General features: G+C 38.0%; 1 protein-coding gene across 20 annotated transcripts in view; it reads right to left on the minus strand.

Moving 5' to 3' along the window:
- Positions 1-27,459, minus strand: part of KLF12 (KLF transcription factor 12) — a 619,957-nt gene that overhangs the window by 121,126 nt on the left and 471,372 nt on the right. For all 20 annotated transcript variants that reach the window (NM_001400153.1, NM_001400139.1, XM_011534909.3 and 17 more), the window contains one exon: positions 5,938-6,073. In NM_001400153.1, coding sequence (NP_001387082.1) covers positions 5,938-6,073 — 136 coding nt within the window. The remainder of the gene's footprint in view (positions 1-5,937; positions 6,074-27,459) is intronic.

Consider the following 27,459-nt stretch of genomic DNA (forward strand, 5'->3'; position numbering starts at 1 on the left):
AGGAGAATCGCTTGAACCCAGGAGGTGGAGGTTGCAGTGAGCCGAGATCGTGCCATTGCACTACAGCCTGGGTGACAAGAGTGAAATTCCATCTAAAAAAAAAAAAAATCATAACATTCAAAATAGCAATAAGAGAAGTCTGAGGAAGCAATAGGGTATCTAACTTGCTACCATATCTGCTCTTTTAAAGAGCATTTATGTAAAAAAGTACCAAAGATAAGACTATACATTTCCAGAAATTCACTAGTTGTTTTTCTTTAAGACGATGAGCACTTCATATAAGCCATATAATAATAAAAACAGGCAGAGAACGACAGTGAAGTGCTTTAATTAGCTTAAATGTAATTGACAATGAACCATTTAAAAAGAATATCCTTTTCATAGGTGCAGTTATCAGGGATGCTAACATCCCTGATTACTAACACTATCAACTGAGCATTATAATCAAAATCAGAGAGAGTAGACTACTACTAAGCTATGGAGTAAGTTAAACAGTAACATGTAATTCATTAGTTCTGAAAGGACTAATTCTGGAAAACAAGCATATCTCCTTAGCATCTTGTATCTTTTCCTCCACCTTTCACCCCACTCTTCCTCTCTTCAGTTTTACTGAATTATATCCACATCCTTTAGCTTGTTCCTAGTAAAACAGAAATTCCTCCAGGGAGTGCTCCCTTTCAGATGTTATTAGGTCGAGTTTGGTGGAACTTGATTCTTCTACTTGCATTAATAAATGAGCATTATGAATGTTTGGAATGAGAAAGAAGGAAAGGGGGTGCAAAAATTAGAGGCTTTAGATAACAAAGCTAAACTTCACCTATTGAAAAGACATCATTATTTTGTCTAGGATTAGAGTTAATTATAATCATTTGCTCTTATCATGTGCCTTTACCTCTCTTTCTCCAAACACTTATTTCATAACTATGTTTGTCAAGTTGTTAAGGGTAATGACCCTGTTTTATCATCAAGGGGGTGGGGGATCAAGACCAAAACAAAACAGATGTTCTAAAAACTGCAGGAAATTGTCTTTGTCAGAATCACTGAATACGTGATTTTTGACTTGGACAGTATCTATTACAATTGAAATAGAAAAAACGCAGAGCCCGACTGTGGGTCTCTTGGTGGCTGCTTCTTCCAATTTATCTAAATTTACTGATCCTGAGTGGATAAATGAGAGTCAAGTTAATTAATGAAAATGGTTGAAACGATCAGTTCAAGCACACAGTTTAGTAGACTCATTACATAAATCTATGTAAACAGAGGTCGATTCAGATTGCTGTTGTAGCCACTAAGCAGCGGTCTTTTTAATTTGAATGCAGGCATATTTGAATATTTGCAGTGGTGGGTGGGGTGGGTAGATGTATCTTGGTTAACAATTTCTGCATATGAAATCAAAAGGAACATTTTTTAAAGTTCATTTTAAAAACCAGCAAAATACATAGCACCAGACATTTAGGACAAATAATTTACTAGCTCAGGAATGTTCACGCTATATAAATATACTAATGTCAACAAAGTAAGGCACCAAATTAAAAATCCAAACTTGAACAGTTATTGCATGAGGCAAGACTATGAGCAAGAATGGGGAAGGAGACAAGAAGAGCTTCAGTTAGAGATATTTACCTGTGGTTTAGCATCTTGTCAGAGGCCTACAGCAGAAAGGCTGGCCCAGGGCAAGGCAATTTCACCCTCTCTGGTGTCAGTCTTCCTTCATATCCCTTTCCTTTCTCATTTTCCCCCTTCCCTTCCCTGACACTCTACTGGTGGCCAAGGAAATAAGAGGCAAATGTCTGAATCCTTTTTAGACCATGGCTCCTTTGATCTTTAATTGTAAAGACAAATGTGAATTAGTTGACCAGGGTTTCTAAAATGTGTTGCCTGTAATATATAGAAAACTTCTGATTTTATCACCTCCCTACCTGCAGCCATCCTTCTCAACCTAACTCTCTTAGAAAAGTTCTTCAAGTACAGGAAACAGAGAGATCCACAGAGGTCCTTTGAAATGTTTTCATTTTTTTACATGCTAATCTGACATTTTATCCTTTTGTTATTTAATACATTAAGTTTATTGATCATATTACAATGAAATGTTTGGGGTTTTTTTTGTTGTTGACAGCCTTTAAGTTTACAGAAGTCATCAAGATACGGAAAGACAAACAGAAAAAGAAGAAAGAGAAATTAATGGTGAAATAGTCATATCCATTAATTAATAAAGGATAAACTAACAGAAAAGCAGAAAGAGAAGTTCGCAATTGTGCACACTGAAAGTTAACTTTGACTAAACCTATGTACAGAATTTTTAAAATTTTTATATTTAATAAAATTTTAAGATTTATTGACTTCTCTCACCACTTCTGTCATTTGATCTATGTATAGAATTTTAAAAATTCTATAACAATTATATACTTATTTCAGAATAAAATTTTAATATATTACTATTAGTTTTCAAAGATCTATATATCTACATTTAAGAGGTCTCTGCAGAACATTCTTTTTGTTTCATTGCACACTTCCCAGTGTTTACACATGCACATTCAGTCTTGAATGATGACTCATTAACTATTGATGGGTCCTGGCATTCTAGGGCTTCCCAGTTGTTAGCTCAGTGTATTCTTAACTAAATCGTTTAATGAAAACACTGACATGTAATGAATCTGGCATCTCCCATGATACACATGCAACTTTTGTAATAATAATAAAGACAGGCATTTGCACTATTACATAAAATCCTGTGACTTGAAAAGGTGTAGGCTGGGCGCGGTGGCTCACACCTGTACTCTCAGCACTTTGGGAGGCCAAGGCAGGCGGATCACTTAAGGTGAGGAGTTCGAGACCAACTGGCCAACATGGTGAAACTCTGTCTCTACAAAAAATACAAAAATTAGCTGGGCATGGTGGCAGGCACCTTTAATCCTAGCTACTAGGGAGGCTGAGGCAGGAGAATCACTTGAACCTGGGAAGCAGAGGTTGTAGTGATCTGAGATGGTGCCACTGCACTCCAGCATGGGTGACAGAGCGAGACGCCATCTCAAAAAAAAAAGCAAATCAGAAAGGTTATGTTGAAAATTAAGCTCCAGTTCCTGAGGTTTCTATTAAACAGTTACACATTAAAATATACTAATACATAATATGCACGTATTAAAAGCACAAAAATAGTTATGTTTAAGAAGTCAATATAATTATTTGCTATACAAGCCCCAAATGGAGTAAGCATACTTTTTTTATTTTACTTTATTTTATTTTATTTATTTGTTTATTTAGGCCAGGATGCTCTTGATCTCCTGACCTTTTGATCCACCCACCTCAGCCTCCCAAAGTGCTGGGATTACAGGTGTGAGCCACCACGCCCGGCTGTAAGCATACTTTAGATTTTAGTCACTACAGTTCCAAACTTTAAAGTTTAATTTAAAAGAAATGCATATATTTATAAAGACACACACACACACACACAAATTAAATACACATTAGAATGATGCAGGAAAACAATGTGATTAAAATGTCTATGGAATGTATTCATCTCAGAATTGAAACTTATCATCATTTAGTCTAAATATACAGATGAGAACACAGACTCCTCAATTTTAGGATTTAGCTCACACAAAATCAGAATCACTGTGCTGACCGTGGTGAGTCAGGGATTAGGAAGATCTCAGCAATCTCTTGGATTCAGTGTCTATGCTGGCTCAAGTTAACATTTGCTTTGGAGAAACTAAGTTAGAGATACACAAGTAAGAGATAAACAATGTTTATTTTTTTAATTTTTCTTTCTTTTTTTTTTTTTTTTTTTTTTTTTAGGAGTCTCACTCTGTTGCCCAGGCTGGAGTACAGTGATGTGATCTCAGCTCACTGCAACCTCTCCCTACTGGGTTCAAGTGATTCTCCTGCCTCAGCCTCCCGAGTAACTGGGATTACAGGCACCCACCACCACGCCCAGCTAATTTTTGTATTTTTAGTAGAGATGGGGTTTCACTATGTTGGCCAGGCTGGCCTTGAACTCCTGACATCATGATCAGCCCACCTTGGTCTCCCAAAGTGCTAGGATTACAGGCGTGCAAACAATGTTTTTATAAGTGCTCAAGCAGGATAATACTACTGATAACAGATTTATAGGCTAGAAAAAGATGTTTTTGGAGCTCAAAGTTCTAAACTTTGTCTTGTTACCATTTATTATGTGACTGGAAAAGTCATCAACCTCTGATCCTCAGTATCTTCATTTATAAAATCAGAATAATGACTCTTGCTGTATTTATATTTCCTCGTGGTTATAAACTTAAACTACTGCACTAGTACTATTACTATTAGTACTATTATTACTAATTACTACTATAATACTAATTCCACCAATAATTGAAGCTTTCTATATGCCAAAACTTTGTGACTTACTTTTCACACCTCGTAGCTGTATCAAAACCTTCTCAATAGTCCTGTCAGATAACTATTCTGATTTTCTTCTCACCTCAGAGTGATTAAATAACTTGCCAGAAGTCACACGGCTATTAAGAGCTTGCATGGAAATTTGTATCCAGATCTGACTCCACACTTCATTTTAGATCAATTATATCTTGTTTTCTCTGATGTATTATATGTATATTCATATACAATATCAACATATAATACAAATTATCTCTATAACATAGATATATTATTCATTTTATATACGCACAGACATACACTTATGCTGTGAATTCTGAAATGCAATACCAAGGCTCTCTTTTCTTTGTTTTTTAATTTCAAAGCCTAATGAATAAAACAAAGTAGGTATTTAATCAACATTTGGGGAAAATAAATGGATATAACAGAGGTAAAGGTAACTAAGATAATTTTGAGTGAACTGTTCATTAACAAGTATGTCAGCAATAACAGTGGCTATTTAAACCCTCCTCATCTTCAAGATTATGTTACTAAAAATTACTCTAGAAGACACATATTGTATGACACTACTTATATGTGGAAGATTTTTTAAAAAGTTGAATTCATAGGAACAGAGAGGAATGGTGGCTGCCAGAGGCTGGGGTGTCAGAGAAAAGAGGAGATACTGGTCAAAGGGTACAAATTTGCAGATAGAAGAAGAAGAAATTCTTAGGACCTAATATACAGCATGGTGACTACAGTTAATAATACTGTACTGTATACCTGAAATTTTCTAGGAGTGTAGAACTTATGCATTCTCACAAAAAAAAAAACTATGTAAGGTGAGGAATGTATTAATTAACTTAATTGTGGTAAACATTTCACTATGTACATGTATGTTAAATCAGCACATATACTTTAAGTATATAAAGTTTAATGTGTCAATTAGACCTCAATAAAGCTGAAAAAATTATTCTACAAAAAAAAACATGGATTTTTTTTTTCAATCATTTAGGTTCAATTCTAGGTACAAGGTTGACTGATAGAAAAGCAGCTATTTTCAATAAACGAGGGCTGAAATCTAACCCTGCGGTCCAGGTAAAAGGACAGAGAAAAGATTCATTTAAAAATAACATATGAGTACTACTTTTCAAAGGATGAACATATTATTTTCCAAATTTAAATCTTCCAAAAAGCTATTCTGTAATTTCCTATCAAAACAAGATAACAATACTTTGCCATATTTCCCTTGACTTTGTGTAATAATAATGATGATGATAATCAAATAGTGACATTCAAAAATAACAATTTTTTTTTTTTTGCAGAGTTCAGGAGAAGGGTGCAGGAGGTATTAGAAAAGATGCACATAGGTCTTATATCTCATCAAAGCATGAATTTCCAACTCATTAAAACACTCCATTCTCTGCCCTAATCTCCCAAAGAGCATTCAGCTGAATGAAAAGCTGCTGACATTCGTGCCAGTTCACAGCTAGAATGACATGGCTGGGGGACAGGAGATGCTGCAGTTTCCATTATCCATTGAACACCTTGGCAATTCTTAATTCATCCTGTGAATGTGATACTTACTCTTGTACTGCTCTGGCTATGGAAAGGGCCGTAGATCCAGTTTCATTAACGCTATCTAAGGTCACATTTGGCAGGTCATCATCATCACTGTCACTTTTACTTTGTCTGGGAGATAGGCCTCGGGGGTCCATTTGTGCTGGAGAGAAAAGGCATATATAATGAATTAAAATCAGTGCGCAGAAAGTTAACCTTGTCCTGGACCAACATCAAGTATGGAACTTCTGTGCATATCATGCAAATGGAATTCTCTAGACATCACAGGAATCAGTGAAAGCTCCAGGTTTTATGTTCTGAGTACTTACTGATTCTTTTTCCCTTCATTGGAGTTACAAAACCTAAACCAGCTCTCAAGAATTTCAGGGTATGGTTATAGAATAGAAACTACGAAATCCACAATATTACCAACTCCTGAGTGGTCAAAAGCTGATAACGTAGCTCCTGAGCTACTGTTCAACCCTCTGGTTTCTCCTCCTCCTTGCTTCTGCTGCCAGAGCTCTGGCCATTTCACTGCTCATTAGCACTCTCCCTGGAAGGTAGAGAGCATGCGGAAAGGAGATATTAGTTGCTTATAGCTCTCATAATAAGTTAAAAGAACAGGGCTTGCGTGACTAAAAGAAAGTATACGTATTTTTCTTACTTCAGTGAATCACTGTTTCCAAGTTCATTACTACTATAAGGTGGGATTTGAAGGCATAAAAATGGCAGAAGTGGTAGCATTTTAGAAATCTTGTTTATATGTGCTAACAGTGCTCTTGAACTCTATCCTGTTTTACTTTTCCAGATATGATTCTTCTCCAATCGTGAATTTGCCAAAGCAGGAAACGGCACAATGTTCTGACCCCTGTTGACCAAGACTATCAGATCTTTCAAATGAGAGGGTTACTTACTGTCAACATATGTTAACACATATTTTTAAAAATTACATTTCATTTCCATCTCCTTCTCCCTGTGAAGAGATTTAGCAACCACTGCCCAGAATTTCTATCAGCCCTCGCTTCACGCACAAACTAGGCATATCTTTTCAATGAAAAGTACCACATGAGCTACACACCCACACTGTTAAATTGTATGGCTGCCTAAGATTTCTAAAACCACCACTGCTTGCGGGGGAAGGCAAAATGCAGGTGAAATCATGGTCATAATGACATTTGGGTACATTTCATAATTTCATTTTTTTGGTCTCAAATCACTTTTTTTGGTTACTGTGTATCATACATTACACCGAACCACATGGAATTGCTGAGAATGTACCATTTTTACCCACGAAATGGCAACTTCGGATGATTGTGTCTAATATTTACAGTCTGGCTAGAAAAACTATACCTAGACGGTTTCAACATATTTCATCACGTTTCTAACTACACTTGGTTAGGAAAGAATTTACATCTAGTGAACCTCGTGTGCACCCGTGTATTTGATACACATCCTGACTTTAAATATAAATATACCAAAACGTGCTTTGCACAATGGAAGTGTTTGGTAAATACTAAATTTAAAAGAAGATAATTCAAATAATATAAAGTAATGGTCCTCAACCAAGGGCAAATTTGCCTCCCAAGAGACACCTGGCAACATCCAGAGACATTACTGATTGTCACAACTTGGGGCGGGGGATAGGGAGGGTGCTACTGGCATCTAGTGGGCAGACGCTAAGGATATTGTAGACATTCCACCATGCACAGGACAGTCAGCCTCTCACAGCAAAGACTGAACCAGTCCAAAATGGCAGAAGTACCCAGGTTGAGGAACTGATCTAGGGATTTAAGAGTCTGGACATAAAAACGTGTCACAGTTTATGACTTTCAGTTCCTATGCAACTATGCTCTCATTTCAACATGGCTAACAAGGAAATTGTCACATACCAGATTATCCATATTTTCTGGCCTTGTCTTAAAAAAAAAAAAATCACTGTCATGTGACTCTGTACCTCCTCAAATGTTAGGAATTAGGCAATAATATTCATTAAGAGCTTTTGAATATTTTCTTTGTACCACCAGCTATGAGACAAAAAGACTGTTTGTTTTCCATCTGATCTCTGGAGGAGATCCACTAGAAGAGGGATGTTGGAGAAACTGTAGGGCAAAGCAACCAGTTCCATCACTATCTGGTAACAGACAGCTTAACTACCCAGTCACTCGAAGGGCACTTGAAGGAACCATTATCATTTAAGATTTATTTTCGCTGTAGGCAACAGAAATTGGCTCAGGCTAACTTATATTAAAAGGGATGTACTGGAAAGATAATGGGCAGCTCACAGAATGGAAGGTCAAGATGAACAACCAACACTAAAGGAACGTAGGATCCAGGAATGACTTTGTGTAATAATATGAATTCAGCTAGGAACTCATAGATAGCTTCTTTTGGGGCAATCCTGTTCTAGAATGATTCATTTAACAGCCATTCACAACTATTCAAAGCCAGCCAAGAAAATGAATATCAGATCTATCTAAGCTTCCAAATCACATATTGTATGGTGTTGCATACACCTGTAAATGTCAAAAATTTAACATTTAAAGTTGTTGAAACATCATGCACTACGATGCCTTTGCCAAGATACCAAATTTGCAAACAGCCAAGAAAAAAGAAAATATTCTGATAGTACCATTTTGTCCAAGACAACTAGAGCTCTTATAGTAAGTAATACAACTCAAGGAAGATAGAGGCAGTTAACCATGAGCAATCTGGCTCTGAAAGTTAAAGTCTAATTGTATGAAAGATTCCAAAACCTTGTGTGAGAGTTGTTACATGATCATCTAATTATGTTATGTTTGTATCTTAATGAAAGTTTAAAATATGTTAAATATGATATCTTTTTGATGTACTTTTCAGGAGCATAATTGAGGATTTCTTTCCAATATTTTCAATAAATATTATGAAATACATCTGCTACCATCATGCTGGGAAAATCTTTTTACCCATACCTTCAGCCAAGCTGAGGAAGTAATTAGAAAGGCTTTTCAAAATCTGCATTGCTGATTAGGTCAGATGATTAGCTTATCTGCATACTTGCATAATTCCACTCTATTTTTATTAAATGTAGAATAGGGACATCAACCCTAGTTAACCTCCATCAGTCTTTGAGCATCTCAGCCCATTTAGGAAGGACTGATTCTCTGGCATGCCCATTTAAAGACCAAAGAAAGTTATCTGGACACCAGAAACAAAAAAATATCAGCCTCTGTAAGTAAGAGAACAGGAGATGATCTATAAACACCTGAAAAAAATTTACACTTAAGATTTTATTGCTCTTTAATGAAAAAGGGATCAGACAGTTTTGGGTAACCCAGCTCACTGCTGGTAGAGGTGTCATTCCTCGGAGTTGGAGGTGTTCTGGAATCCTACGTGAGTTTCATTCCATGTGTCAAAATCCTGGGGAGAAAATTTCAGAACCCAACACCTGAAGTTGAACTGATATACTCTGATTTTCAAATACTCTCCTATGGTAGATTGTTACTATAACGATCCCTCCAATAAATCATGTCTGTCTGTATCCATGCCCTGATGTGGCCACTTCTCAACAATGACTCTGGGCTTGGCTCTAAGACTTGAAGTGACCAATGGGACATTAGCAAATGTGACACAAGTAGAGGCTTGAAAAGCACTTGCACCTTGGGTTTCCCCTTTTCCCTTGCTCTTTTTAGAACCTAGTCAACTTGTGAAGAAGCCCGGGAGAGCCTATAGGAGACATGCTGCTCAGCAGGCGGCCAATCCCACTGTGAGCCATGTCAGTGAGCCATTTTAGACTCACCAGCTACATTACAGTCACCAGATGACTACACCATGAGTGACCCCAGGTGAGACCTGCTTGAAAACCTCTTGGCTAAACCCATGCCACATTTCTGACTCACAGAATTTGAGCAAATAAAATACCTGCTGTTTTAGGCTGGGTGCAGTGGCTCACACCACTGTAATCCCAGCACCTTAGGAGGCTGAGGCAGGAGGACTGCTTGAGCCCAGGAGTTTGAGACCAGCCCAGACAACGTAGTGAGACCCAACCTCTACAAGAAATTTAAAACATCAGCAGAGTGTGGTGGCATATGCCTGTAGTCCCAGCTAGTTGGGAGGCTGAGGTGGGAGGATCACTTGAGCCCAGGAGGTTGAGGCTGCAGTGAGCTACGATCACACCACTGCACTCCAGGCCTGAGCAACAGAGTGAGATCCTGTTTCAAAAAAAAAAGAAAAGAAAAAAAAGAAAAACAAAAAAAAAAAAGAAAGAAAAAGACAAGACTTGCTATTTTATTCCACTAAATTTTAGGGTTAGTTGTAGGGCAGCAATAAAAAGTTAGTGCACCAGGTTATTCTCCCAGCTCCTTCTAGAGATTTCCTAGCAATGATGGAGATGAACTACAACTACAATTACAGTCAGCCTACAACAATATTAAATTGAATTAAGTTTGGCCTAAAGCTGCCTCTATACATGTTTTAAGTTTGGCCTAAAGTTTCTTCTGTACATAGTGAACTGTAACCTAACTTGACGTGGAAACAGACCGTAACCTCCTCTTGCAACAAGTAGCTGAGTTTCGGTCAATCAAAGATGGCCAACTGTTGAAACCAGATTCAATTAAGGCATATGCTGCATTTTAACCAACGGAGCTGTCTCTGTACCTCACTTCCATTTTCTGCATGTCACCTCCTTTTCTTTGGCTATAAATATAATCTGCATATGCCGTAGGGTGAAGCATTCTGAACATTTTTGGTCTAGACTGTTGTCTGATTCTGGAATCAAATTAAAGCCAATTAAGATGTGCAAAATTAGATTTGTTTACTTTTAACAACATTCTTCTTTATTCTCCTCCCAAGAACCAACCTTGTTTTAGTGACATAAAAGCTACCTACTGCATTCTGCATCATTTACTTTTCAATTCAAAATATTCAAATGTATTTACAGGTGTTTTGGCTTTTGCAGTATCTTCTTTGATCCTTCAGTATTGTGCAGCTAAGGTTCTTCTTGGGCCCTAAGGGGCCATTTAGTTATGATGAACAACACTTATTTATTTTTATTTATTTATTTTCAGATGGAGTCTTACTCTGTCACCTAGGCTGGAGCGCAATGGCGCGATCTCGGCTCACTGCAACCTCCGCCTCCCAGATTTAAGTAATTCTCCTGCCTTGGCCTCCCAAGTAGCTGGGATTACAGGCGACAGCCACTGCGCCGGCCGAACACTTTTTCAGCTCTTCTCCTCAGCTGAGACTTGATAGGATGCTCATATGGGTGGGTTCTCACTGGTGTATGGTCACCCAAAGGTATATTTCATGTTTTTTCTCTTCAGCTCACATGAGACATTTAAACTTTGCTTGTTTCCTCCCCTCATGTAATAGTAGACTGACACAGATGCAGGGGACACTAATTCATTCTCACCTCCCCTCACCCCAGCCTGCCTGCTGTCTAAAGACCAAACACTCTTCTAACTTCTGTTGAAGTAAACTTGCCTATGCACCCACTCTTAAGGAAAAGGACATTCTTCTATTTCTATAGGTTGCAATATTAAATGTGTACGACACAACAATCTAAGAACATATATGAAAACTTACAGACTAACATTTCCTAACAGGAATGAATCCCAGAAGCAGATACTGAATCCCTTCACCTCCACGCGCCAGGGCTGGAGAGGAGAGGGCCATACACAGATGGAAGGTGTGAAGTGGCTGCCCAGGCAGGCGCCACAGGGCTGATGGACCTCTTTTCTCCCTCTTTTAGCTACGGACAGGCTCCCTGCTATCTGCAGGTGCCCTAATTGTTCGCCCTGCCAAGGCTGAAACATGTCCCAGTTAGAGAAACCCCGGCTTCCAGGAGAGCTGCTGGTTTATTCTAGAAAGGAGGGCAGAGGGGGAGTGCAGGAACAAAGGGAAAAATGAATGTTTGGGGAGGAATGTTTGGGAAAATTCATAGTATCAGTAGGTAGAAGAATCCTCCTCCAACACATTCTATGCAGAAATTGTTCCAGAAAAGGAGGGTCAGGAAGCTTCTTTAGGATAAAAACATGGCTCTGGCTTCAGGGAACATGGGATGACTTCTGGCCCTGTCATTTGCAACATCTGACCTTGGGCAATGATTTTGCACCGGGAATCTTCAGTTTCTTCTCCTGCTACTGCTGCTCTAAGGAGTAAAGAAGATAATACATGCAAAGCACTTAGTCCTGGCCTGGCTCTTAGTAGTCAATCATCATTCCATTTTACCCTGACAGTAAATTTACTGCTTCTTCACTCATTCCCTTCTATAACACTCCTTCTAAATCTCTCACCATCTCCTGGACTATTCAAATTAGGCAGTTTTCTTTTCACGTGTACCTAAACTGAAAATACCATTACAGAGGCAGAACACATATTGGATAATATATAAAACTACTACTTATTTACATCATTTATGTATTTAGTCAACAGATATTTATTGAACACCTACGAGGTAGCAAGCAGTCTTCTGGCTGGAGAAAGAAGAGTGAAAAAGAGTGAACAGATTAAAATTCCTGCTCTCATGCTGCAGAGATACAGATCATTAACAAAAAAGAAAAATATATACTACGTCAGATAGTAAGTGCCATATAGAAAAATGAAGCAGGGAAAGCAGATGGGGTTGCATAGTGGCAGTGGACAATTTTTGAGATGGTGGCCAGGAAAGGCCACATGGAGAAGAAGATACTTCAGCAAGGACTTGAAGGAATTGAGTAAGAGAAGCTTGCAGGTGAGGGTTTTTGGGTTTTGTTTGTAGGGTGAGGGGCATTCCAGGCAGAGAAGATAACAGGTGCACAGGTGATAAAGTAGGAATGTGTTTCATGTGCCTGAGGACCTGCAAGGAAGCTGTGGCTGGAACCAATACAGGGAACTGGATGAGGACAGAGAGAGGAGGCAGAGGAGGGCATGCAGAGTACAGAGGGCCTTGGAGGGTGACATAGGCTTTTGAATTTTGCTCTGGGTGAGAAGGGAAGCCATTGGAGGGTACTGAGCAGAAGGATGACATGATACAAAATTTTATCATTTGATAAGGATCCCTCTGGCTATCTCTGCCTGGAGCATAGTGGGGGATTCAGCTGGAGCCACACACACAGGAATCATCTATGACATTAACATTCCCTAAAAACAACACTAGCTTTTTTTCTCCTTGGTCACCTCCTGCTGGCTGCACACAGAATCAGTTAAAACTCAGGACTTGGTTACATCAAGGTCTATGTGGCACGTCCTTCCTAATATATTTGTACAAGTGATATTCTGACTTCATTTGGTTTCAGAATATCAGTTGTTCAAACAGACTATTTTCCTAGCACATCAAGACAGATAGTGAGAGAAACATTCATGAGTAAATAAAGCTTGACTCAAAGGACGGTGAACTCCAAGATTAGAAATAGCTCTCCAGGGTCCTGTTTTGTTTACTAATGTTTCGACAATGCCTTGTTTCTTGTTTCCTTTACTTTTGCTAATGCTAATGCCTCTACAGAGCAGCAACTGTGATGGCCATAACCCCAGATGACTATTTAAAAGTTCAATCAGTTATGTAAATCTTGGGATGTTGGTACTGTGTAGATATAATATGCAATTTACTCATTTTTCCCCCAATTTTTGTCTGTTCACTTGACAGTGTAATGGCTTCTGCTACCATTATATTAAAAAATAACCTCATAATGTTCTTATAATTCCCTAGTGCAAGGTCCACTTCTCAGTTGTAATGCTGTTGGACCTCTCTACAGTTTTCAAGACTGTTGGTTATTCCTTTTCACTTTCATTTCTGGCTTCTTCTTAAAACTTTCTTCTCCCTTGGCCTCGGGGATAGGCAAATTAAGCCCTGTGGGCCCTGCCACCTGTCTCTGTAATTAAAGTTTTATTCAGCCATGGTCATTTACTTCATATCTGGCATCTTTAGTGCTACAAAACAGGATTGAGTCGTTGTCACAGAAACTGTAGGTCTGGTTATAAAATACTATCTGGCTTTAGAAAAAGTATTTGCTGACTGAAATACATTATTCTCTTGGGCCTTTGTCTCTCTCTGGTTATCTATCCTTCTAACTTCTTCATCTCCTTTCTGTATACCCCTAAGTGTTAGTTGCTGCCCTAGGTTTCGCTACCTATTCTTTTCTGTCTGCCTCTTTATTGGTGAGCTTCTCAGCAATTCCAAAGAATTCCATAATTTCCCCAATTTCAATTGCTATCTCAGAAGGGATGAATACCAAATCAACATTCTCAGCTCTGACCTCTCCCCTAAACACCAGTCTCATTTCCAGCATCCTACTGACTAGTATTCCTCAAAAATCATTTCAAACACAAGTCCTATTCTTTCTCCTGGTTTCTGAGTTTCAGCTGAGAGATCCTTTTCCCAGTGACCCACGTTCCAAACTTTGATTCATTTCATTTGTGCCCCTCATTAAATCGGATGCTAAGTGCTCTTGCTTTTACCCAATGATTATTTTCTTTTCCCACTGCTTTTCATCGACTTCCTTGAAGTCCTATTGTACAAATTGTCCCATGGAGCATTTCTCTGGTAACTGAATGTATGCAGGGCTTTCCTTAAGACATTCCTTACTTAGAAATCCTTGACTTTTTCCCACTGTCTACCGAATATGGTTCAGCAGCCCTCCGCATCCTACAACTCATTTTCCACTGGGAGCAATGATGAGTCTTATCCCCGAAGCCCCTGAATCCAGCTTTATCTAGCCATTTCCTTCCATTTCACAATTCTGCCACCACAATCTACCCTTCCTACAGAATAATACCTTCATGACCCTTCTTTTCCTTCTCTAACTACATGCATCTCTCCTTTTTAAAGAATACCTATACTTTGTATTTATATATTTTCATGGCATTTTTGCACTTTCCATTTTGAATTATAGTTAGGCATACACTTATTTTGTTTCTCCAATTATGCTGTTTACTCCTTGAGAGGGGAGACCACGTCAATTATACTCCCTTGTACACAGTAAAATGTAAAGTTTAATGCAGATCTCTACTGAAAATGATCACAGTAATTCCCAGCTGATGAGAGATTCTGCAATATAATGATGCAAGTGTCTAGCTCACATTTCATTTAAAAAATTACATTCTGACTTACATTCTAATATTAACATTTGTGAGAGAAAAGTCACAATCATTAAATTTCTATTATTCTCTGAAGTCTTAGATTATATTTTTGGTTTGGGATGACATGGGAATGAAAACGTTCATAATTTTTATTCACTTTTCAGCTAAATTCCATTTAATGGGCTTTCCTTTCAGGAAATCATTTTAAACACTACCAAATACCTCTCATTTCTATCACATGAATTACCGCTTGGAAACTAAAATGAAGGAATTTCATCCTTCATCCTAGTTTAGGCTGGGTGTGGTGGCTCATGCCTGTAATTCCACCACTTTGGGAGGCCCAGGCTAGAGGATCATTTGAGCCTAGGAATTCAAGACCAGACTGGATTACTAAGTGAGACTCCATCTCTATTAAAAAATAATAATAAAATATAACTTAAAAATTCATGTTTTTTTGAAGTCACAACAGCTACTAGAGTTTCATTTTTCTAAAGAATCATGACTAAGACTACTTTTCTTGTTTATAAAAAGAAAATGAATAGAGATTTACAATTGTCTTGTTTCCTGAAAGTACGTCTTAGAGCATAAAAGGCTTTTGTGATTTCTAAAAGTTCATAAAATTTTCCATTAATAAGTAGGTTTTTCCACTGTGTGTGCTTCCACTAACTCTAGAGCTGGCCAAGAGCCCTGAACTCTAGGAGCCCTCTGAGATATCACCACACCACTATTCCCCATAACCTTTGCCTTTTGTTCATTCATTATAACTGCTCCAAACCAAGCCAATCAGCTCAAACCGATTTATTCAAAACTGAAACTACTATAGGCAGAGATGTAAAATAATAATAAAGTGATTTTGTGGTACACACATATGGAGAACAATGAGATCACCAAACTCATTTTCATCTGCAATGTACAGAGAAGGTTTTAGGCATTAATCCATGGCCATTTTATTCACTTTTCTTATTTCCCTTAGTTGGTCTGTTGCCCCTATCTGTGTTTTCTAGTTTGTGTACTGAGTAAAATGGAATCTTTTAAGGCAGATTAAAATCTGTTATAATAATTTTAAGTATCACCAAATCACAGCCCTAGTCTTAGGTACTTTAAATGTAAGAAATACTTAAAAAAAAAAAAGAGCAAAAAATCCACCTCGAACTTAAGTCTGCTTTTATATCAACTATGCTATATACAGCTAGATGGTATGTAAATGATTTACCACAGAAGGGTTCTCTGCTAGTTTCAAAGTTGAAAAGTTAAAAAAGCAAGGGGTGGGCGGAGGCATGCAGAACTATTGTGCCACATAGAGAATCAGTGTTGCTGTCTTCCTCCAATTAGTATGCTCTCCGTGCCTCATTTTAGAATATATTTAAACCTGCAAGGTTAAAGATAAGTCTTGATACATAATCATGATTGAATTCCTTTTAGAAGCAGAGTAGACGTTCTTGAAGATATGGTCTAAGACTATCAAAAATCCTCAAAATTGAGAATTATTTATATACATACTGTTGGACCTTTCTATAGTTTTCAAGATTTGGTTATCTCTCTTCATTTGTAGTTCTGGCCTCTTCTTTTTTTTGAGAGAGAGTTTCGCTCTTGTTGCCCAGGCTGGAGTGCAATGGTGTGATCTTGGCTCACTGCAACCTCTGCCTCCTGGGTTCAAGCTATTCTCCTGTCTCAGCCTCCCGAGTAGCTGGGATTACAGGTGCATGCCACCATGCCCAGATTTTTTAGTATTTTTAGTAGAGACAGGGTTTCATCTTACTGGAAAGGCTGATCTCAAACTCCTGACCTCAGGTGATCCACCCGCCTTGGACTCCCAAAGTGCTGGGGTTACAGGCATGAGCCACCGCACTTGGCCTGGCCTCTTCTTAAAAACTCTCCTCCTCTGGCTTCAGGGATGGACACATTTGTCCCTACACCCTGAACACGTTTCCATCAAGAATTACATATTTCTTGTGTACATCTTCACATCACATTAAAAAAAAAAACCCTATCAAAGTTTTCTTTCTCATTTGATCGGTTGATAAACACGTATACACAGAGAACATTTCCACCCACACTTCACAAGAGTTACTGTGCGGGCCACAGGCAGAGAACACAAAGTGCCATTGAGATGAGCCCCGTAGTTGTGCAGTCTCACTCATAAACTGACCCCCGGTGCATAGGATTCTAACTTGGAACTTAAATATAAGCGCTATATAACAGACTTCTGGGACACTGGAAAGCAGATATCTTAGATGTTGTATCTGTGAATGTCAGGGTCTCCTCTGCTAAAATCATGAAATATAATTTTTCTTTTTGAGAACAAAATTAAGTGCTGACTCTTCACTTCCCCAGTGCATTCCTCAGGATTGTCCCATCCTATGGTGAATGCTGTCACTATTCAAAAATGACTGGGAATATCTTCGAGCCAAAAGAACAGTATTACTGTATTTTTTTTCCTGTGTTTCAATCTTGGTTGAAGGACGTATTTGTTCATGTCCTCATCTTATACCAACTCCGAAGAGAAAAATTTACTCTGTAAAATTGGATGAAAGGTCTTTTCCACATTAATTCTGTTTGGTATGCTTTTATAAGAAAGAACAATTCCATTAGTCCGCATCAATCTATTAGAAATATAGATTTCTAATTTCAGGCTGGGCGCGGTGGCTCACACCTGTAATCCCAGCACTTTGAGAGGCTGAGGCAGGTGGATCATCTGAGATCAGGAGCTCGAGACCAGCCTGGCCAACATGGTGAAAACCCATCTCTACTAAAAATACAAAAAATTAGCCAGGCGTGGTGGCGTGCACTTGTAATCCCCGCTATTTGGGAGGCTGAAGTAGGAGAATCGCTTGAACCCAGGAGGCGGAGGTTGCAGTGCGCTGAGATTGCACCATTGCATTCCAGTCTGGGCAACAAGAGCAAAACTCCGCCTCAAAAAAAAAAACAATAGAAATATGCATTCTCTGTGTTTTGGAGTTTGTTAAAGAGATTTCCATATTTTGTAACAGTGCCCCCCTTCTCCTGCCCCTGTTATGATAAATTGGCTAGTCTCTGTGAAGGCTGGTGAGGTTTCCACGAACTAGAATGGTATGACTTCCTTGGGCTTCAGGTATGGCCACTGCATTGGAGTTTGTTTGGTCAGACCACTTCCTGAGCCCAGGAACTCAAGGCTCTGGCTTGTTTAGGGAGGTGGCAGTGGCAGTATCTCCGGAAATGACTCTTGAAGAACAAGATCAAAGTTAAAATTCTGTCTCGAGACAGTCCAGGTGCAGCAAGTGAGAACACTGCTATAGTATACACTATAACACCAAGAGAGCATAGGAGGTACACACTAGTCTTCTCTGCTTTCCCAACTTTAAACTGGGCTTACACTAACTTCTTTAGAAAGCCCATTTTGGTTTTGTGAAAAGAGACATTTTCTAAAGAAGATAAGAGCTATGACAGAGGATGAGGTCTTGGCCTTTGCCAGGCAAATTTCTGATAAATTGCATGGTGCTTGAGGTTGCTGTGTGTAGTTGTTTAATAAATAGAAAGGTTGGATACTGTCTTTTGTAATATAAGGAAAACAGATTTTCTACTGAAAAAAAACAGAGAAATTCATACCGCTCTAATAATATGTATTCTAAACATCATCTGGCCTTGATTTCCTTGACCAAAGATGCCAGGTTACCTCCACTCTAAGCACCTGCTGTCCCTGAGGCTAGCTGAGATCTGAGATCCAGGGTGTCTCATTACACCCCAACCAAACCCATCTGCTAATAAGAGAGTAGCTAAGCTTTCTACATGCCTGCCACATTTAAGCTATCAAATAAGATGTCAGGGGCAAATCAATCATTCAACATTTTTTTTTTTTTGAGATGGAGTCTCGCTCTGTTGCCCAGGCTGGAGTGCATTGGGACGATCTCGGCTCACTGCAAGCTCCGCCTCCTGGGTTCACGCTATTCTCCTGCCTCATCCTCCCGAGTAGCTGGGACTACAGGCGCCCGCCACCACGCCTGGCTAATTTTTTTGTATCTTTAGTAGAGACGGGGTTTCACCGTGTTAGTCAGGATTGTCTCTATCTCCTGACCTCGTGATCTGCCCGCCTCGGCCTCCCAAAGTGCTGGGATTACAGTCATGAGCCACCACGCCTGGCCCTTCAGCATTTTTATTTATCTCATTTCTGAAAGGAGAACTCCCTAAATCTTGAAAATCATTTCTTCCCACTGTTTCTCACATCCAACTATTCTTCATATAAAAGAAAATATAAACAACCATTTAACATAGGGTCTAGTACTTGCTCCCTCATTAACTCGCTTATAAACTTGTTACTTACAGATTTTCTTTCATGTCAAGTCATTTCTTAGTTAAGAAATTCCAGGCTTACATAAAATGGCTATTTATTTTCCCAAAAGATTCAAAATATCTAAACATTTCGTGGTATTTCTTTTAGATCATTAAGTTAAATATCACAGAAAGAGCTGAAAGCTCCTTTGTATTTTTTTAATTCCTATTTTGTTTCCTTCTTCCACAGTATTCTGGTGTATATCCTTCCCATTCATATTTTTGGCCCTTAACTACATATATGTCCATGAACAATACCTACAGTTTTGCTCTTTTTAAAATGGCATATAACAATATCATATCTACACACACACACACACACACACATATATATTTTTTTGAGACAGGGTCTCACTCTGTCACCCAAGCTGCAGTGCAGTGGCATGATCTCGGCTCACTGTAGACTTGATCTCCCAGGCTTAAGTGATCCTCCCATCTCAGCCTCCAGAATAGCTGGGACTACAGGTGTGGGCCATCATGCCTGGTTAACTTTTGTATTTTTTGTACAGATGGGTTTCACCACATTGCCCAGACTGATCTTGAACTCCTGGGCTTAAGTGATCTGCCCACCTTGGCCTCCCAAAGCACAAGGATTACAGGCATGAGCCTCCGCAACTGGCCAACAATATGATATTTCTATTTGATTTTTTCATTTAACATTGTATTTTTGAGATTTATTCATACTCTTTCATTTAATAGTAAAAGATACCATTTTCTAAATGGAGCAGTATTAGTTATCTATCCTTTTCGTGATGAAAAATTAATTTGTTAAAAATATTCACTATTACAAATGCTGCTGTAACTTTCTTCATAGTATACATCTGAGAATTACGGGGTGCCCATATCAATTTTACCAAATATTGCCAAATTGATCTCCAAAGTTGTTGAATCAATTTACACTCACATTAGTATGTGAATACCCACGTTTCCCCATACTGTTGTAAGACTTAATATTTCCAGATATTAAAATTTTTCTGAAGTCTAAAATTATTCCATGTTGTCAATTCTCCTCCCAAATACAAGATTGAGCATGCTGTAACTATCCAAAGAACACTCCCACCTTCCCCATTTATCATTTGGTCCAGAATTTTTTATTTCTATTTTTATTTATTTTTTATTTTGAGACAGAGTCTCTGTCACCCAGGCTGTATGTAGTGCAATGGCGCAATCTTGGCTCACTGCCACCCCTGCCTCCCAGGTTCAAGTGATTCTCCTGCCTCAGCCTCCCAGGGAGCTGGGATTACAGGCACCCATCACCATGCTCGGCTAATTTTTGTATTTTCATTAGAGACAGGGTTCCACCATGCTGGCCAGGCTGGTCTCAAATTCCTGACCTAAAGTGATCCGCCTGCCTCAGCATCCCAAAGTGCTGGGATTACAAGTGTGAGCCACTGTGTCCGGGCCCATCCAGAATTTTGGTGCATGTTTTACTATCAAGAGTTAATTAAAAGTTATCTTCATGCATATATTTATCTACATTTTTCAAACCAGTTCTAAGCTCTCCTTTCCTTTTGGGTTTTTCTGTTTGCAAAGGTATATTCTTTATGAGTCTTATCAGCATAAGACTCATATGTGTGGGCACTAAGCTCTCAGTCAATGTATGTCTGAATTTTGTTTTTTTTTAATTTCACTCTTAATGGAATTTTATTTCAGCCCAGTACAGAATTTCAGGATCTTTCAGCCCTTTGAGGAGCCTATTGCATTGCTTTCTGGCATCTGTTGGTGCCCAAAGTCTTTTCATTCTTAAATTCCTTTGCAGACAAGCTTTTAAGATTTTGTTTAGGGAACTCATGCTTGACAATTTCACTGTACTATATCTAGATGTGAGTTGATTTTTACTGAGTTTGTCTAAAATCTAAGATTCATAATCTCCCTTAATTTTTCCAAATTCCAAGACATCTCTCTGAAAGTTGCGTTCTATCTATTCTGATAAATGTCATTTTAGATATACGTCTTTTAGATATAATGTCTCTTAACTTTTCTTTCATGTTTTTGTCAGCTTTTCTACTTGTGCCAGAACAAGAACCTGGGCATTATCCTAGATTTATCTTTTCCTTTATCCTTGACATCCAACTGGCCAACAAATTCTATCACATTTCCATTCACACCACCCTGCTCAGGCTCTCAGGAATTCTCACGTGGCTTCCTGAAATAGTCTCCCTCCCTGTATTTTCAATACATTCAACCCTTCATGCCCAAAACTTTAATGTTACCATGTTAAATCCCATCTACTTCCAAGTTTCCTATGCTTCCCTGTAGAGTTCAGTAAATAAATCGTTAGCTTGGCACAGAAGGTCTGTGATAACTACATACATGAATACTGCCCTTAAGCTTCATTTCCGCTTCTTTTAAGTACTTTTCATTTGAACAATACCAACTTATCTACTTGTCGAATCTATCTACCAGGATACAGTATGCCCTTTTGTATTTCCAAGAGTGCATTTTTTAAAAACTGCCCTTCCTTTCCTCCATTGTTACACAGAGAATGTAACTAATACTTTCTTCTGAGAAACAGCCTTCTCCTGAAGTGATAGCCACACCTCACCGCCACCCAACACCACCACCGAGTATACTGCCCCTCTTCCTTTGCAATCCACCTCTGTGAGCCTGGGTTCACTGGATTACAGAGCTTGTCTCACTGTGGCTTTTTTGTCTGCTTTATCCATTTGACTGTGAGTGTATTGTGGGTACTGTACGTTGTGCATGTGGTTAAATCATGAATGTGTATTAATCACATGAATAAGTGAATAGAAAGAAATACACTGCACAATTCCCGGGTAAAGCAAAAGGCTGAAAAATTGGAGATTAAAATTTAAAAAAGAAATCTTAATTTTTGAATCTGGCAGGCCAAATTTTATTTAGTTTTGACAGATGAGTCAGAGAGCAACAAACAAAATAAATCAGTACTGTAATCAACATATCTGTTTAAATAATAAGGATATTTTTCTCAGATGTTACAAGATAGAGGATAAAATTCAAGAGTTTTATAACAAGTCAACTAGTTTCATTTGGTTTATAAAGTTCTAGGTGGTATCATTTTTTAATAAAAATATATACATGTCCACATATATCTGTCTCTGTATATGTGCATTTACATTTATACATAGATGCATAAATAAGGTCTAGTACCAAGTTCTTCTCTGAGCATATTCTAATATGCCCGGGTATCAGATGGACACTGCATTCTGAAACTTACAAATATGCAAGGCCTCTGCAAATTCTGACTGCCTGAACAATAACAACTGACTGAATAGTAATAATATGGCTGAGCTCCCCAGTATCTTTTCTGGAATAAGGTATGGAATGAATAAATAATGCTAAAAAAGTCTGTGGTGGCTTACTCTTGCTATTAAGGATGATTGCATTCTCAACGTTCTTCATAATTATAAATATAGAACACAATACTGAAAAATAGTTATAAACCATTCAGTGGCTTATTTAGACTTGTAAATGGACAAAACTGTAATCCTCTGTTTATATCAGATCACACAAAATTATATAGTTAAAACTAGTGTAAATTATGATTGAAAGGAGGTTTAAGTATGAAGGACTTATCATGGTGACTATTAAAGTAATCACAATTGGCCAAGACAGGCAAGAAATGTGCTTGTTAATAGTTGCATTAGTTGCAAGGTGGATAATGAGATAATAAAACACATAATTGGAGGTTATACTATCTTGATTACTGTAGATTATACCAATGGGCACAATAATGCCACTAAGCAGTGCATCACCAGTGAGCACTCATTTGTTAGATGATAAATGGGTAATGATCTACTATAACCATAACTTCCAGAACGTGACAGAAAATACTTCCTATGACATATCATGATACCAACACATTTTGGACAGCAGGCAAGATCTTTCACTCTTTGATAAACTTAATAAATAATAGAGAACTACAAAAACAGAAAAGATACTATATGGCTCTGAAAAGACACTGAAACAAAAACTGGAAAATGCCAGATTTTACTATGAAGCTATTCTCCATAACCAAACACACACTTTATTGAATTCATTTTCCAATTTTGAAGAAGGCATTTCTGAACATCTGCTATATAAGCTTGGATAATTCTAAAACTGTAATGTTATAATGATTATTAGCTATTGGCTAGTGCTCAGAATTTTATTGAACTCATTAATCTAAGAAAAATAAATATAATTATAACAGTAATAATAAATGTTGGCCGTGTCTTTATTTTTGTAGTTTCCCCTTGTGTCTTCCAGAAAATTACTACTACCACAACGAGGCAAGATAGAACAGGCGTGTCTGTGTTGTATATGTCTTTCTAACCAATTCCCTGCTCAAAAGAGCTCTAGGCAGGGGCCAGATATGTCTAAAAATGACATGGATGTCGATCTCTGAAACGCAGTGAACCACACTTTGACTAAATTTCCCTGCACCTAGAAATGTTAACCTACAGCTTAAGGCTGTTGTTTTTCAGGCTGCAGGATGCTAAAGAAATGAAAATACATGATACAGTACTATAATATCAATATTTAGCAACATGGAATTACCTCACGCAATTCATACACACACACACACACACACACACACACACACACGCATACTTATTTTACATACAGAATAGATTTCATATATAATAAATTTTAATCCTTGTCAAAAAACTGAATGATTTAAAAACATAATGCCACCTAATTTGAGGAATTATGGAATTGGATATTTAAAACTGACACATTCTCTAGATAATTAAGGCATACTTTTTAAAGCATCAAGCCTAAGTACAGCAAAATGGCTATGGAGTATTTAGAAATTCTGACTTAATTCAAGGCTCTACCACTCTTAAGCTGTGCCCTTATAAGTGGTACAGAAAGTGATATGAGTCTTAGTTTTCTCATTGCAAAACACTGACAATAATATCTACATGTTGGTTATTGTCAGGCTTAAAGATAACATATGTAAAGCAGAAAGAACATATAAGCACTCTATAAAGGTTATTTAATATTATTTAAATGATTTTTAATAAATATATTTACAAGATTTATTACATACTTTGCTACCTTTTTCAAATGGACTGATGATAATTTAACCTTTCTTTCATTACTAATGGTCATTATTTCAAAAGCAATTATTACGCTGTAATAAAGTATTCTCTCCAAGGACTAAAGCGCCGTGTTAGCCTGTTTGCTCCCATCCAGAAAGACCTTGCTGCAATTATTCAAGTTCTTGTTTTAATAATAATTTTGACGTTTTCTTTGCTGGCTGCCACTTTTTTACCCTCAGTGCCCCTACAGATAAAGGGAGTTTCCTAATTTGGGAAGGGAATTGGCAGATGAGAATCTCAGGAGGTATTCAGCATCTATAAACTGGTAAAGCAAAATCAGTAGATCTATTTTCTTTCAGTAACAAAATCTACAGAAAGAGAAGTGCTACAAAATTTTGTGACTATTGGGCATCCATAAAAATCTACTGAGAAGACATTTTGGGGAACCCAAGTTATAAAAATAACGATTGAGAAATATTCCTATCACTTATTTTTCTTTGCATTTTTATTTGCTATTCTCTACTTACGTGGTTAGAAAATTATATTCACAAAGAACATAACAAATATATCCAAGCCAAGAGTTAAAATGCTTTGAAAGACGGAGGATCTTGAGTCCTTTCCTATAAGTAACATAGAGTACATGTAATGTAGACAACATATTTTGTATCATATGCAGTGTCTGTGTGGGAGGTGACCTCATGGGCTACTTTCCAGTACAAGCACAGTATTCCTCATTCTTTGTGTGCCCTCCATTCTCTACTCTCATTATTTACTCTTTTCCTGGTCTGAAACACTCCTACCTACTTTGAGTACCAAAGCTTTACGCTTCTCCAACTTTCGCCTCAAATGCCACCTACTCTCCCCTTCTTATAATGTAAGACTTCCTCCAGAGTCTAGTTCATGTTCTCTGGAGATTTACAACCTAGGCCTCTAGAAGGTTTCCTCTGTTTAAAAGGTCTCTGTGTTTACAGAGGACTGATTCACAGCATTCACGTCTGACAAAGGCCACACCGGAGATGATTAGGGGGAGCCCTTGGATTTAGCACAGAAGAGACAAAAAAGCAATCAAGAAATTGAAAATGCCTTCTAAACACAGAACACTGGAAACAATTCAGACAAAGCTATTTTAGATTCGTGCTGCGGTTTACTTAATACGTTTTTAAGATCAGAGAACTGAGGAGGAAAACCAAATCTTTGTTTTATGGATGCAACAAATGGGCCCACCATGCTAAATACATCATTTATTCTTTCTCACAGAGAGATATTTAACTCTGTGGTACAAATAAAAGTAGCAAAGTAGCATTTCCCTTCTACTTAAGGTTTGTTAAAGGAAATTTATGCTTTTAAAATGCTCTACAAACACCAAAAACTGATTGTACCATTATCAGCTTTTAAATCAAAACAGCTTGCTATCTGCTAAGGACAGGAAAAATGGTCGATTTATTTCATAAAACTTTATGTACAAAGAGACACTGCCTATGAACTTAATGGAGAGAATATAGAGTCTGGAGAGGTAATTTTTATTACAATTTATAGTGGGATTACTCATACTCCACAGTTTTCAGATTTTATGGCATCATGATGCTGATGCAGTTAACTGCAGTGGGGTAGGAGGCATAATTTGTTTCGCCCTGAGTGGGAAATGAAATTGGCGTTACTATTATATAAGAAACTTAGCAGATTCTATTAATTGCCTGGATCCAATCAAAGCTATTAGTTATCCTAGTTTCACAGGTAAAATATTTTACCTGAGAGTAAAAGAATAAATAAGAACTGACTACAATTTTCATACAGCAATATCTACGTATTAAGACTGTTTGGAAGCCCAAAGAATATTTCTTACCCACAGGAGTTCATCTCCAGAAACTACTAAAACCTAAATCACATCAAGTATCTATAAGGTACCACCAAACATTATTCTCTAATATTAAGTGCTACAAAATAAAACAACTAGGGAAACAGCAGAAACAATGTATTCAAGAACACCAGGCGACTACAGATTGACATACCACAGCAACAGCTTGGGGGATGGTATTCACTCATTCTGCACTTAAGAGTGTTTATTGTGTGCCAGATGTTGGATAAGGCAGTAAGGCAATGAGAAAAGATGATGTGTGTGTGTTTGTGGGGGTGGTGGTGGTATATGAATTGCCTTACAATTTGGTATGTACTGTTTCAGAAAAGAAGGCATTTGAGCCAGATCTTTTGTCAGAGAAAGAAAAGGCTTCCCTTTGCTTTCTACATGGATAAAGGTAGAATGTCACCTGAAGGGCCACGCAACATGGCTGGGACGTGAGATGTATTTGGTGGAATGGCAACAGACTGAGAGGGAGGGGTAGTATGTGAGGTAGATGTGAGGACGTGCGGAGGCTTGCTGGTTACATGTTATGTTTTGGCAGCCTCCTATTTCACCATGGGAAGGTTTATTCTACTGTCAGGGTTCAGACTGCACGTCTACACTGGCCACACAGCATTCCTAAGCATCTCACACAAAACACTGTTCCTGCAGTGTTTCCCACATTAATGCATTCATTTCTTCATCCATCTCTTCAGTAAATATTTATTGAGCATTTACTAGTGTCAAACACGATGTTGGGGAAATATTAGCTAATGAGGCTTAAATGGTACTTTCATGGAGCTTAAATTGTAGTGTAGAATTCGGGGAGAACACCTCCTCCCCCCACCACAACCTCTTTATTTTAGAAATGAGCATTTATAACAATATAAACCACATTATATAAGCACCACAGTTCTCAGCAGAGGAGCTTATTCTTACTATACGTTACCCAAGTCCTGCTATATCTTTCTCTCCCCAAAGAACTGAGAAACCCATATACCTAGCAAAGAATTACCCTTCTTCTAATTCTACCATGCTCCTACTGAACTCCTAAGACCCTAGTATTTGAAAAGGCAGTTTATCTGATGAATTCTCCAAGGGCTATTCCTAGTTCTCTCAGTTTTACTAAGTTTTCCTACATTCTGTTTTCCTGAACTCTTTCTGTCCCAAGACATAACTGTCCATTGCATTTATTTTCATTTTATCTTATTTTATTTTACTTTTATGAGACAGAGTCTCATTCTGTTTCCTACGCCAGGGTGCAGTGGTATGATCTCGGCTCACTGCAACCTTTGCCTTTCAGGTTCAGCCAATTCCTGTGCCTCAGCCTCCCAAGTAGCTGGGATTACAAGGCGTATGCCACCATGCCCG

The sequence above is a fragment of the Homo sapiens genome, chromosome 13 (assembly GCF_000001405.40).
Source record: "Homo sapiens chromosome 13, GRCh38.p14 Primary Assembly".
In the NCBI taxonomy this organism is placed as follows: domain Eukaryota; kingdom Metazoa; phylum Chordata; class Mammalia; order Primates; family Hominidae; genus Homo; species Homo sapiens.